Raw genomic sequence first — 14062 nt, forward strand, 5'->3', positions numbered from 1 at the left:
AAGGATTCTAATTTGCCTGGTGGGCAAATTTTCTTAATTTTTGAAATTATACAGTAAAATGGACACTTGAGGTATAGTTCTACGAATCTGAACGCATGTATAGATAGATATAACCACCATCACAGTCAGTATCCAGAACATATGCATCACCCCAAAGAACTTCCTGGGTTCCTTGTGCTGCCCTTGTATAGTCACTTCCTTCTCCCACCCCTAAGCGCTGGCACCCACGGATCTGTTCTCTATCACTATACTATTGTCTTTTCCAGGATATCATAGAAATGGAATAATACAGCCTGTAGTCTTTTGAGACTGGCTTCTTCACTCAGCATAGTGTCTTTGAGTTTAATTCAAGTTGTTGAATATATCAATAGTTCTTTTTTTCAGAATAATATTCTATTGTATGAGTGTAGCAGATTTTCTTTATCCATTCACCCATTGAAGGACATTTGGGTTATTTCTAATTTGGTGTAATTGTGAACATTTGTGCCATAAACGTTTGTGCATGAATTTTTGTGTGAATATAAATTTTCATTCTTCTATGATAAATATCCCAGATGTCCAATCTTTACAACACCATTTGTTGAAAAGACCATCCCCTTTCTTTTGAATTGCCTACAAAAATAAGATCAATTGATTTTTCTTTTTTTACAAAGGTGCTTTTATTTTTGGGCTATGTATGAAACTGTCAAGATTGTTCTAGTATTATAATACTTTTTAAATTTTGTTCTTTTTCAAAGTTATTTTGATGGTTCTAGTTCCTTTGCCTTTCCTCATAAATTTTAGAATCAGTTAGTCTGTATCTAAAAAAAAATTTCTGCTGGGAATTTGATTGGAATTGCATTAAATCTATACATCAATTTGGGGACATCATGCCTACATTGAGTCTACCAATCTATGAGTACAGTATGTCCCTCTCTTTATTTAGTTCTTCTTTTAATTCTTTCATTCACTTCTGATGGTTTTCAGCATATGACTCCTGCACATGTTTTGTCAGATTTTGAGGAGCAGCTATTGTAAATCTTATTGTGTATTTTTTAAAATGTTTGTTCCTGGAACTTCATTACTAGTCTATAGAAGTGCTTTGATTTCTTTGTTGAACGTGTATCCTGCAATGTTGCTTAACTCCCTTGTTCATTCTAGAAATATTTTTTATGAATTCAGCAAGATTTCCAACAAGATAATCATAACATCTGTGAGTTGGAGTAGTTGTAGACCCTCCTTTCCAATCTGTACACCATTCATTTCCTTTTCTTGCCTTTTTAAACTGGTTGGAACTTCTAGTACAATACTGAATAGCAGGGGTGAGAGTTAGCAACCTTGCTTGGTTCCTGATGTTATGGAGAAAGCAGTTAGTCTTTATTAAGTATAATGTAAGGTGTAGGATTTGCTTTTAGTTGCTCCATATCAAGTTAAGCAAGCTCCTTCTACTCCTGGTTTGCTAAGTGTTTGATACTGTTGTCTGTAATCATAAATGGCTGTTGAATTTTGTCAAAGGCTTTTTCTGCATCAAAGTTTGACCATGTGGTTGGGATTGGGGTTTTTTATTTTTATTTTTTCGGCATGTTAGTATGCTGAATTGCATTGATTATTTTTGGAATATTGAACCAGCTTTGTATTCTCAGGACAAACCCCACTTGGTTGTGGTGCATTATTCTTTTTATATATTATTGGATTCAATATTAACAAAATATTTGTTTGCTAATATTTTGTTGAGAATTTTCTGCATCTATGTTCATAGGAGAGATTAGATTATATTTTTTAAGCTATCTTTGTCTGATTTTGGTGTCAGAATAATGCTGATCTTTTAAGATGATTTGGTAAATATTCCAACTGTCAATTCCATCTTTTAATAGGTATACATCTATTCAGATTATGTTTATTTTTGAGTGAGCTTTGGCAGTTTGTGTCTTTCAAGGAATTGTTCCATTGTCATCTAAGCTGCTGAATGTATATGTGTAGAGTTATTCATAGCATCCTTTTCATTTTTGTGTGGCCTCTAACTTGTATTAAACTTTTCAAAGAACAAATGCAATCTTGGCTCACTGCAGCCTCAACCTCCTGGGCTCTAGTGATCCTCTTGCCTCAGCCTCCTGAGCAACTGGGACTACAGACACACTATCATGCCCAGCTAACTTTTGTACCTTTTGTAGAGATGGGGTTTCATCATGTTGCCCAGGCTGGTTTCATACTCCTGAGCTCAAGCGATCCGCTTGCCTTGGCCTTTCAAAGTGCTGGGATTACAGGCATGAGCCACCGTACCCGGCCTGGTGCTTCCATTCCTGAAGTCTGGCATCTTAGCACATGCTAATCAGAGGGTACCTACATGACCAGCATCAAGTAAAAGTCTTGGACACTGACTCTCTAATAAGCTGCCCTGGTAGAAAATATGTCACGTCACACATGTCACAATTCATTGCTGGGGGAACGAATTCTGTGACTCTCCTAGAAAAGAACTCCTAGAAACTTGGGCTGCTTTCCTCAGGCCATTGGTCCATACACCTTTTCTTTGCTAAGCTTGCTGTATACTTTCATTGTAATAAATCTTCATCACCATGAGTCCAGCTATATGCTGACTGTGAGTCCTGTGAGTCCTCCCAGCAAATAATAAAAAATGGGAGTGGTCTTGGGGACCCCTGACACAGTTGTCACAATGGTTGGATTTGCCAGAATAAGCCTGACTCACTAAAATATGGTGAAAGCCTTGTTTGAGTAAAGAAAGACTGAAGGAGTAGGGGGTGATGAAGGTGCTCAGGTGATTATGGCCTTATGCATACTGTGAAACAGTAGCTAGCTTTTGTCTCTTGTGAGAGGTAAATGTTACTTATAGATTTTAAAAAGAACACATCCAACTCTGGGAGACCTGAATCACTGCATTCCTTGGCGTCTTTCGCCATGCTGGAGATGGGGGGTGGGAACACAGCCAGGTGAAGATTTTGGTGTTTTTCCTTTCCTCCAAATAGAAGAAAGGGGCTGGGAATGCACAAAAGTAATTTTAGGGTGGCGAAAAATGTTAAAAATTTGGGCTTCTCTCTCCTCCAAGTGGAAGGGAAAAATATTAAATCAGTTCCCTGCGCTGGAGCAAAGCTTAGATAAACCAAGTAGAGGGAAAAGGAAAAAATCCTCCAGTCTTTTCTTCAGCTTTGCTGCTGCTACTGCAGCCCCTCCCAGCCTTCCAGAAAGAATCTCTCCTGGCAGCTATGATGTTAACCTTATAATTGCAATGAGAGCCAAAAAAAAAAAGGAATTAAAAGTGGCTTTTTAATTTATGGCTGTTACATCCAGATATATAATAAAAGTGATGTGAAATGTTATATACTTATAATGTCATAAATGCTAGAGGGACCATCCCCTTCAGGGAAAGCTGGACAGGAAAAAGATTTTAATGGGATACAACTTTTTTGCTTTTTGACTCAGGTGAGGATATTGGAATTTAAAGTCAAATTTAGCTTTGAATGTTACAAAGAAAACGAATCTCCATAATAGGATTTTTGCTCTGATGATTGCCTTTGGAACAAGGAAGGCAACATGAAAAGATAGGCAATGTCCAGGTGGAGGTGCACTTTTAGAGTTTTTGAAGTGGTTTTCAATTGTTAATGAACTCTAATGAAATCAGATATCTGACCCTTAGAGAGTGAAGATTTGTCAGCCAGATGTGCACATTTTTGAGTGGGTCCATTAAATTCTAAGGCTGACAAGAAAATTGGGCTTAGGATAATTTTGCTTGTTACTTCAGCTTGGAACAAGGCTGTCTGGTTTTCAGCTTCTTCTTTTTGCTGCTGCCAAAGAAAAGTCTCTTTGTTTTGTTTTGTTTTTTCATATGCTGAATTCATAGATCCTAATGGCCTGGACCTCACTGTAAGCTGAAATTGATATTGTCTGCTATGGGCTATTTCAGCCTCAGTAGGAGCTGTGCAGAACCTGAAGCAGGCACAGGCTCAATACACAGGACTCTGACTCTGTAACTTTTACAGAATTAAAATTTTTTATTTTTTTTTTAATCTTTTGTTAGAGATGGGGTCTCCCTGTGTTGCCCAAGTTGGTCTCAAACTGCTGTGCTCAAGAGATCCTCCTGCTTCGGCCTCCCAAAATGCTGGGATTACAGGCATGAGCCACCATGTGTGGCTGACTTTTACAGATTCAAGAAACCCCTCTGTAAAGACTTCAACAATAGAAACATCAAGGATGCTTGCTGGGCCATCTGGGTCACTTGCAGTTGCCCATGGAAAAGGGCTTATTCTCTGATGGGACCATTTACAATCTAGGGGCTTATCAGCTCTATTTCTGATGCAAAGGCTAATTACATTCCTCATTTGTTATTCCTGCCGAAACTGAAGGGAAGGGGAGAATATATCACAGAGAGTGACTCCTCCATGCACTCCTGACAGATCAGTCTCTAGATCTCCTCTAGGGAATATGTCACTGGTATTGACTTGGGGTTCCCCTTTCTTTTTTGTTTTCTCCTTCCTCCTTCCTCCTCTCTTTCTTTCTTTCTTTCCTCTTTCCTTCCTTCCTTCCTTCTCCTTCTCCTTCTTCTTCTTCTTTTGACAGGGCTTCACTCTGTCACCCAGGCTGGAGTGCAGTGGTGCAATAATAGTTCACTGTGGTGTCCACCACCCTCTCAAGTGATCCTCCCACCTCAGCCTCCCAAGTAGCTGGGACTACAGGCACAAACCGCCATGCCCAGCTGGTGTGTGTGTGTGTGTGTGTGTGTGTGTGTGTGTGTAGACATGGGGTCTCACTATGTTGGCCAGGCTGGTCTCAAACTCCTGGCCACAAGGGATCATCCTGCCTTGGCCTCCCAAAGTGCTGGGATTACAGGAATGAGCCACTGCGTCAGGACAGGTTCCACTTTCTAGACTAATTGCAGTTTGCAAGTGTTGTGGCTCAGAAAACAATATCCCAGAATGGAGGCCTCAGAAGCAGCCTCAGAAGTAAAAGTTTTTCTGTGACCTTATCCTGCCCTCTTATCTCTCAGTCCCATTCTCCCTTGAGGCTAGCCATAGAAACTAGGATCCCTCCTCCCCAAAGTGGGTCTTAGAAACCAGAAGTCCTTTTCTCCAAGCTAGTCATCAAGCCTAAAAATATGATTCTAATTTTCCCTCTGTTTTTCTGTGTAAAAAACAGGCCATAAAGAAATTACCTGTCCTACCTTGTTCAACTATATAAGTCATAAGACACCCATTCCAGAGAGGGTCCTGCCCCCCATACCCAGAAGGAAGGAATGCTGCTCAGAAAGGCCTAGAAGAATCCAGACAGACGGGTCTTGCTGGGTTTCCCCACTCAATCTATTTGCATTAGATCATACCCTTTTTTTCCAATCATATTTTTGCCTGGCTGTCCATACTTTGTTGAACCTGAGCATGAAAATGGACAATGTCCCCTATATTTTTGGATCTTAATTCTGAAGGCTCCCATACATACATATTAAATAAATTTGTATGCCTTTTCTCCTATTAATCTGCCTCATGTCAGGGATTTCCAGTGAGCCTTTAAAGGGCCAAGGCCCATGGCCCCTACATAACAAAGGACTAATAGCCTGACTCTGCTTCCCTAACCTTTCTCCTGGTGCACACACTTTGGTAAGGCACTTTGACCATTCAATACAGCTGTCACCAGCAAAGCATTGAACTTTTCCAGCCTGCTCACTAAATAAATGATAGAGACAAAAGGGATAAGAAGTTATGCAAACCCATCTAAATTTGTTTTAAAATGTGAATTTTCATCCCAATCAATTTCAGAACATCATGAGTATTACTGGTTATTTATTAAATTGTTTTTTCTGGGCTGGGCACAGTGGCTCATACCTGTAATTCTACTGCTTTGGGAGCTGAGGCATGAGGATCCCTTGAGCCCAGGAGGTAGAGACTACAGAGAACCATGATTGTACCACAGCACTCCAGCCTGGGTGATGAAGCAAGACCCTGTCTCAAAAAAAAAAAAAAAAAAAAAAAAAAAACCTCTATGAAAATTATTTTGTTCTGCTTGCATATGACCATTTCAGACAAAAGGTCTAGAGGAGAATCGATGATAATAGAAGAAATGGAAAGTTTCGATTACAGAATGGCACACACTGATTTTCTAACAATGAAGAAAACACGAAACCTGACACCTGGAAAGAGTCAAGCCAGAGAGAGGGGACGTTAATGATCTCTGTTTTTCAAAATGGTTTCTGAAAACTTTCCCTTTTTCCTGAAAAAACGCTCCCCATTCAGCCATCCCAAGCTACTGTAAGTATATTGAAATCACACTGACTGCTGAGCACACAATCACATCTGACAGAGCTGCAACTAGCGAAGGGACAGCAGGGGCAACCCAGCTCCTGAACATCCCACTCAGAACACCTACAGATGTCATCCAGGTTTGTAAAGAGGAAGAACTGGTGTCAATGGTTAACAGAACCTGGACTGACTGCCTTCTGTCAGTCCCTCTGAAACCAAGGACACAAATGACTTGTTTGGAATGCACAGGGAACCCTAGAGGGAAAGGTCCCACAGTGGGAGGCCACCCTGGGGGCCTTTGCAAGTTCCTGCCTGACTAATGTATGTCCTGCTGAGGGTGCACTTAAAATGGTAAATGTTAGGTTTCCAGGGATATAATCATGTACTTGCATGTGCCCCCTAACTATCCTGATACTGACTTAGCTATGAAAGGCCTTCACATCAGCTTCAGCTTACTGGCCAGAGCTATGCTGAGCCTGAATTGGTGGCTTGGGTTGGGCAAAAAAGGTTAATGCAAAAATTTAAGTAGGAAGTCAGCTGCCTTTCTAAGATAAACCTTCATGGTTACTGGGATTTGTATTAATTGGCTGTGATGGTAAACTTGATTTGTCAACTTGACTGGGCCAGAGTACACAGGTATTTGTTCAAACACCAGACTAGGTATCTCTGTGCAGGTAATTTTAAATGAGACTAACATTAAAATCAGTAGACTTTGAGTAAAGCAAATTACACTCCATGATGTGGGTTGGCCTCATCCAATAACTTCAAGGCCTTAAAGAGAAAAAAGACTGGGTTTCCCCCAGTGAAGAAAATATTCTGCCTGCAGACTGTCTGTGAATTTGAGCTATCTTACATGGGTCTCCAGAATGATGTCCTGCCCTACATAATTTGGATTTGCCAGCCCCCACAGTTGCATGAGCCAGTTCCTCAACATCAATTTCAACAATCTCTCTCTCTCTCTTTGTCTTTCTCTCTCTCTCTTTCTACACACACACACACACACACACACACACACACACACACACACACGGAGGAGCCCGAACCAATAGGGTGCTTACATCTGGGACCCTTAAAGGGCATAACAGAGATCAGTACTGCAGGTTGGTCTCACTCTGCTGCATGGGTTCTAAGGCAGAGTGCTGTGGTGTTCCCCTCCCACCCTCTACAGACTGACATCCGTGTGGCTCATCACTGTGATGCAGGGTTTGGCCATCCAACCATTAGAAATCACTACAATTCCACAAGGGTTCTCTGCTCTCCTTCTGCCTGTCATGTACTCTGTTCTATCCGGAAGACACAGCGATCTACTGGATACGATTCCAACCTTCCAGGAATGACCTGAAAACCTGGTGAGGGAGATACACTTGGAAAGAGAAGTTCAGTGAAATAACAGCAACAGGCATAGCTGGTGTGTTCACCAACTCATGAGAGATCACACTATCAACATCTTCCACTTGATTTTCCCCATCAATTAACAGCTTATCCTGGAAACAATCCCTTTGGTAGGTAAGTTGGATTCCCCTCATTGTTTCCCCAAGGCATGTGGAGCTACAAAGCAAACTGATACTGGTATGTTGTGTGAGAGTGGAGTCCAAGAATGGAATGCTCTGCAGTGATGTGATTGCCAAAGCAGTCAATTAGTCTTTGTAAGTTCCCAGATGAAGTACCATTTACAAGCCTCTCTCAGTTTACAGGGAGTGACATGTATGGAAAATCCAGTTTATTTAAGACTCTGGAAAAAGTCATTTGCCTCACTGTAACACTCAGTCCCCAAATGCCAGTAGACTCCGCCAATCATTCCAACAATCAAAGCTGCCCTCCAAAATGCCCCAAAGTGGGCAATGATATTCTGGCCACCACTTTAGAATTCATAAGAAGTACCCTCAAAACTCTTATTTACATCAAAAGGATAGGAATGTTGCAGTCGGTACAAAGGAAATAACACAGCACCATGGAGCAGGACACAATATTCCCGAGAAAGGATTGTGGGCACCTTCCTCCTCTGTGTTGCTTTCTGTGATTAAAAAAAAAGTGGTTCAGGGCCAGCTGGGGTGTGCAGTGAAGCTTCATTTCAAAGGTCAACCACTGCCATGGGACATTGATGCTCAGGATGGTTCTGTGGTAGTCATAACTCTGGTATCCTGAGACTAGTGTCCTTCTCCTAGGCAAGGGCAGCCCCAGGCTGGGGCACAGGAGAAAAGGCCCAGGCTAGGTTGTCAGTCTGCTAGGGACAGCTGTTTGTTGTGGGATCACAGATGAGATCAGGAGAAGGACAACTGAAAGGAGAAGAGAGGAGACCATCTCACACTGTCCAATATCACACTGTCCTGATTACCATAGTTACCATACACATCTTGAAATCAGGTAATAAGAGTCTTCCAATATTCTTTGTCTTTTATAAAATTGTTAGGCTATTATATTCCCTTTTCTTTTCCATATAAATTTTAAAGTCAGCTTGCCAATTTCTATTATAGAAACAAAAGGCTGCAAGGATTTTGATTGGGTTTACATTGAATGTATAGATTATTTGAGAGAAACTTATATATTGATAATCTTCAGTCTTGCAATCCATTAACATGGTATGTCTCTTCATTTATTTCAGCTTGCATTAATATTTCTCAGCAATGCTTTTCAGTCAGGTCTTGCACACATTTTGTTAAATTTTACCACTAAATATTTCATGGGGTTTTTGGTGCTATATTAAGTGATATTGATTTTTAATTTTCAATTGTTTGTTGCTGGTATATAAAAACAGCATTGACTTTTGCATATTTATCTTGAGCATGTTACTTTGCTAAACTCACATTTATGTTCAAGTCATGGAATAAATTCCATTTGGCTATGATGTAAATTTTTTATATATTGCTAGTTTTTATATATTGCTAATTTTTATTACACATTTTGTGTCTATGTTCATGAGTTATATTGGTCTGTCATGTTATTTTCTCATAATGTTTGGTTTCGATATCAGGTTGACGCCAGCTCTGTAAAGTGCTTTGGAAAGTGTGATCTCTCACCAATTTTCATGAAGAGTTTGTGTAGAATTGACATTAATTTTTTTTCCATCTCCCTTTCCTGGTATGGAATTGTTTCTTCCACAAACGTTTGGTGGAACGCTTGGCAGAATTAGCCAATGAAGTCACCAGAAACTTGAAGTTTATTTGAGAAAAATCTTTGTTTTATTTATTTGTTGTTTTTATGAATTCCTTTTATTTTTATATAGATATATATGTCATCTATTTATTTTTGAATAAGTTTTGTTAGCTAGGGTCCTTTGAGGAACTTTCCCATTAAATTAAAAAAATACATTTTTTTGATAATATTTTTCATAATGTATCATACATTTAATATCTGAAGGATCTGTATTGATGTGTCCTCTAGTATTCTCTTTCTCTCTATCATCAGTCTGGCTAAAAGTTTATTAATTTTTCTGATCTTTTCAACTAAACAACTTCTGGTTTCACTGATTTTTTTCCAATTGAAGTTCTCATTTCTATTTAATTTATTTCTCCTCATATCTTAATTAATTTTTCCTTCTTCTTGCTTTGGGTACATTTTATTTTTCTAGTTTCCTGATGTGGAAGCTTAGATAGTTGATTTGGAACTTTTCTTCCTTTTTGGTGTAAGTACTTCATGCTATAAGTTTCCTTCTATGCACTGTTTTAGTTTCATCTTGCAAGTTTTGATATTTTGTGTTTTTATCTTTAAATTTTCCTTGTAATTTCTTCTTTGAGCTCTGAATTACTTAAAAGTATTGTTTAATTTCTAATATTTCATGGATTCCACATATCTTTCTATAAATAATTTCTATTTCAAATATTTTGTGGTCACAGAACATGTTTTGTAAAATTTCGTTCCTTCTGAATTTGTTGAGGTTTGGTTTTCAGCCCAGAATATCATCTGTCTTGGTGAACATTCCATTTACACTTGAGAAGAGTAGGTATTCTACTGTTGTTCTGAAAATATCAATTAGGCCAAGCTGGTGGATAGTGCTCTCTCTATATATAGATATTATATATATATATATATATATATATATATATATATATATATATATATGTATATATGTATCTATGTCTATATATATCCATATACATATATATACATTATTAGGCTTTTTCTCATTTTTAGGGCTAAAGTGACTTTCTGTTGAGGCTTTCTGCATCTTATGTGGAGGTAGAGCTCTCCTTTGTCAATATTTTGACTACTGGTACAAAAATACAGCATTCAAATATTTGAATTAAAATATAATCCAGGGACAAGCTGAGTATGGCTTGCAAGCTAACTCCAGCCCATGGCTTATTTCTGCACAGCCTTGGAGATAAGGATTTTTTTTTACATTTTAAAGTATTTATATATATATATATCTCCTGAATTTTTGTTTCTACCAATTGCTAGGAGGAATGTTGAAGTCTTCAATTATAACTGCAGATGTGTCTATTTCTTCTTTCTGATGTATCAGTTTTTCTCTCATATATTTTGAAGTTGCATACATATTCATGGTTTTATGCCTTCTCAATAAATGCAACTCTCTATGATTGTTGTGTGATGCCCCACTTCATTCCTTGTAATACTCTCCACTATAAAGTATGCTTTGTGAGGTCTTAATTTAGTACCTCTAGTTTTTATGTGATTTATATTTGCAAGGTCCATCCTTTACTTTTAACTTATTTATTTCTAACTGGGGTTCTTTTTAACAGTATATAATTTGTTCTTGCTTTTTTTTACCCAGTCTTATAAACTCTGACTGTTTTGTTTTTTTTTTTTTGAGACAGGATCTCATTCTGTCTGTGAACATGGATTCCACTTGTGTCTGAGACTTCCAGGGATTCCAGCTCTCCCAATTGCCTGTGTTTGGCCTTTATGAATGTGTTACATTTTCAGTTGTTTCCTTCTTACCCACTTTTATGGCTGTCATTTCTTCCATACATGCTGTGCCGGAGGTGACGCAGTTTGTGTGTCTCATCTCTCCTCAGAATGACTTGTCACCCTTTTATATCATGGAACATATATCATGGGAACATGGCTGACTTGTTAGCTCTCTGACGATCTAATAAAAAACTGTAATGTCATACATTATTAGGCTTTTTCTCATTGTTAGGGGTAAAGTGACTTTCTGTTGAGGCTTTCTGCATCTTATGTGGAGGTAGAGCTCTCCTTTGTCAATATTTTGACTACTGGTACAAAAATACAGTATTGAAATATTTGAATTAAAATATAATCCAGGGACAAGCTGGGTATGGCTTGCAAGCTAAATCCAGCCCATGGCTTATTTCTGCACAGCCTTGGAGATAAGGATTTTTTTTACACTTTAAAGTATTATTTTTTAAAAACACAACAATATGCCACAGAAACGATGTGGCCCATAAAAACTGAAGTATTTACTACCAGGCCCTTTAAAGAAAAATTTGGTGACCCTGTATTCATCTAATATCTATTATTCTGCTTTATATTATTGCATACATTTTCATCCATTTATTTATTTACTCACATATTGAAAAGCATGGATTACTTTTTGATCTTGCCCTATCCCCTCAATAAAGCATCCAGCTTTATGATGCCATGGTCTCAATCTGGGAAACTTGGCCCAGGGCTCAGGTGAATACACAAACATATATCTGAGGTAGGAGACCGGCAGGACTTGTTTCTGGCTATAACCCTGCTGACTAAAACAGGATCTGAATTGGGAGGCTGAGGTGGGAGGATCACCTCAGGTCAGGAATTCGAGACCAGCCTGGCCAACATGGTGAAAACCCATCTCTACTAAAAATACAAAAATTAGCCAGGCATAGTGGCGTGCACCTATAATCCCAGCTACTCTGGAGGCTGAGGCATGATAATCGCTTGAACCCGTGAGGCAGAGGTTGCAGTGAGCCAAAATCGCACGGCTGCACTCCAGCCTGTGTGACAGAACGAGACTCTGTCTAGAAAAAATTTTAAAAATAAAATAAAACAGGATCTGATTCAGACAGGATAAAGGGAAGAAACTGGCAGAAACTAGCAGATGGCCATGAGAGTGATCCCTGGCTGCCCTCCTTGCTTATTAGCATGGGACGCTCCCACCCAGCAGCATCATAGATTACAAATGCCTTGGCAAGAACCCAGAAGTTACAACAGCTTGCCATTGCAATGGGCTGGAAGTTACCAGCCCTTTCCTAAAGAGTTCGAAATAACCTGCTCCCACCCCTAAATTTGCATTAACCCGCCCTTAATATACACGTAATTGAAAGTGGGTATAAGTGAGTAGAAATATAGTTGCTAAGACCCCATAGGTTGCTGACTCTTGGTTTACTGCCTATCAGTTAGCCCTGCTCTGTAAGCAGCAGTACCATTCAATAAAAGACTGCTGTCTAACACCACTAGCTTACCTTTGAATTCTTTCCTGGGTGAAGTCAAGAATCATCCTAGATTAAGCCACAATATTGAGGCTCACTTGTCCTGCAGCAGTTTCATACCTTGGCTGTTGTAAATAATGCTTCATAAACATGGGAGTGCAGATAACTTTTCAACATACTGATTTCATGTCCTTTGGATATATATCCAGTAGTGGGCTAGCAATTTTGAGGGGGAACCTCCATATTCTTTTCCCAGTAATAATGTACAAGTGTTCCATTTTCTCACCAGAACTTTCATCCTTTTGATAATAGGCACTCTAACGGGTGTGAGATGAGATCTCATTGGTGGTCTTCATTTGGATTTCCCTGATGATTAGTGATGTTGAGCATTTTTTCATATACCTCTTGGCCCTTTGTATATCTTCTTCTGAGAAATATCTATTCAGATCTTTTGCCTTGTTTTGTCCTGCTTTTGTTTTGAAATAAGGTCTCAATCTATGTCATATGATCAAGGCTAACTGCAGTTTCGACCTTCTAAACTCAAGTGATCTTCCCACCTCAGCCTCCTGAGTAGCTGGGACTACAGAAACGCACCTTTGCTATTAAAAACAGCAAAGTAAAAAGGTAATTTTCACTTTTTTGGGGAGAAAGTTTCTCACAATTGTTAACTGCTTGGAGTTGCATAGTGTAGCCAATGCCAGTTTTATAATGTTTTTATTCCAATTTTAATTTTAGAAATTTCTTTTAAATGTGATATTCAATGAGTATAAGGTAGAAAAAAATAAGAGGGAATTTCTTTCATCTCTTAGCTCAGTGCCCACTAAGACACATGCCACAGGTTTTTGGTTCCTTCAGGTTGTTGTAATAGTTAAACCAGAGAACCCATTAGTAGAAGAATCAATGTCATTGATGTTGCTTTCACAGAAAAGGGACTGGCTCCATAGTCATGATAGTGGAGAAGTTTGGGAGTTAGTAAAGGAGCCAACCTATGTAAGTTTTGCACAAAAAGAGTTATATAAAAATAGCCAACTTCTGAACCCCATGTACATAATGATAGATGAGAAAATATAAATATATTTGGAAGAGACTAAGGCACATTTACAGATGACAGACTCCTAAGTGGCTACTCTGAAAAGCAGAGATATCCTTGAGCATTCAGAGTGATGAACTTTTGTTTCTTGTCTGCTGACTGAACACCATGATTCCTTGCCTTCACTGCAGTGATAAAACGAATAAAGATAAAGATGGGATAGATGTCAGGACATGCTATTACAGCAAATATCATAGCCTTCTTTCTGGCACAAAAAGCTACATTCCATTAACTTTAACCAAGCAAAATCAGAATCCAAGGTACTCTCTATCCTCCACCCACCAAATGATACCTAAAAAGGAAAATTGTCTTTACCAAGAAAATGTACTCAAGATAGCACATTACTATTTATTTCATCAAAGATTTGTGGTTGTATACTCTGTAAAGAAACTTAATATTAATTTTCTTGATGTTAAATA

The 14062-nt window shown here is 38.7% G+C and overlaps 1 long non-coding RNA gene across 1 annotated transcript; it reads left to right on the forward strand.

The window, feature by feature from the left end:
* LOC124905189 (uncharacterized) lies at positions 8437 to 11290 on the forward strand. The gene is made up of 2 exons (XR_007068240.1): positions 8437 to 8582; positions 10994 to 11290. It is a non-coding gene; the product is annotated as an uncharacterized LOC124905189 (long non-coding RNA).
* Positions 11291 to 14062: the final 2772 nt, after the last annotated feature.

The sequence above is a fragment of the Homo sapiens genome, chromosome X (assembly GCF_000001405.40).
Source record: "Homo sapiens chromosome X, GRCh38.p14 Primary Assembly".
Lineage (NCBI taxonomy): Eukaryota > Metazoa > Chordata > Mammalia > Primates > Hominidae > Homo > Homo sapiens.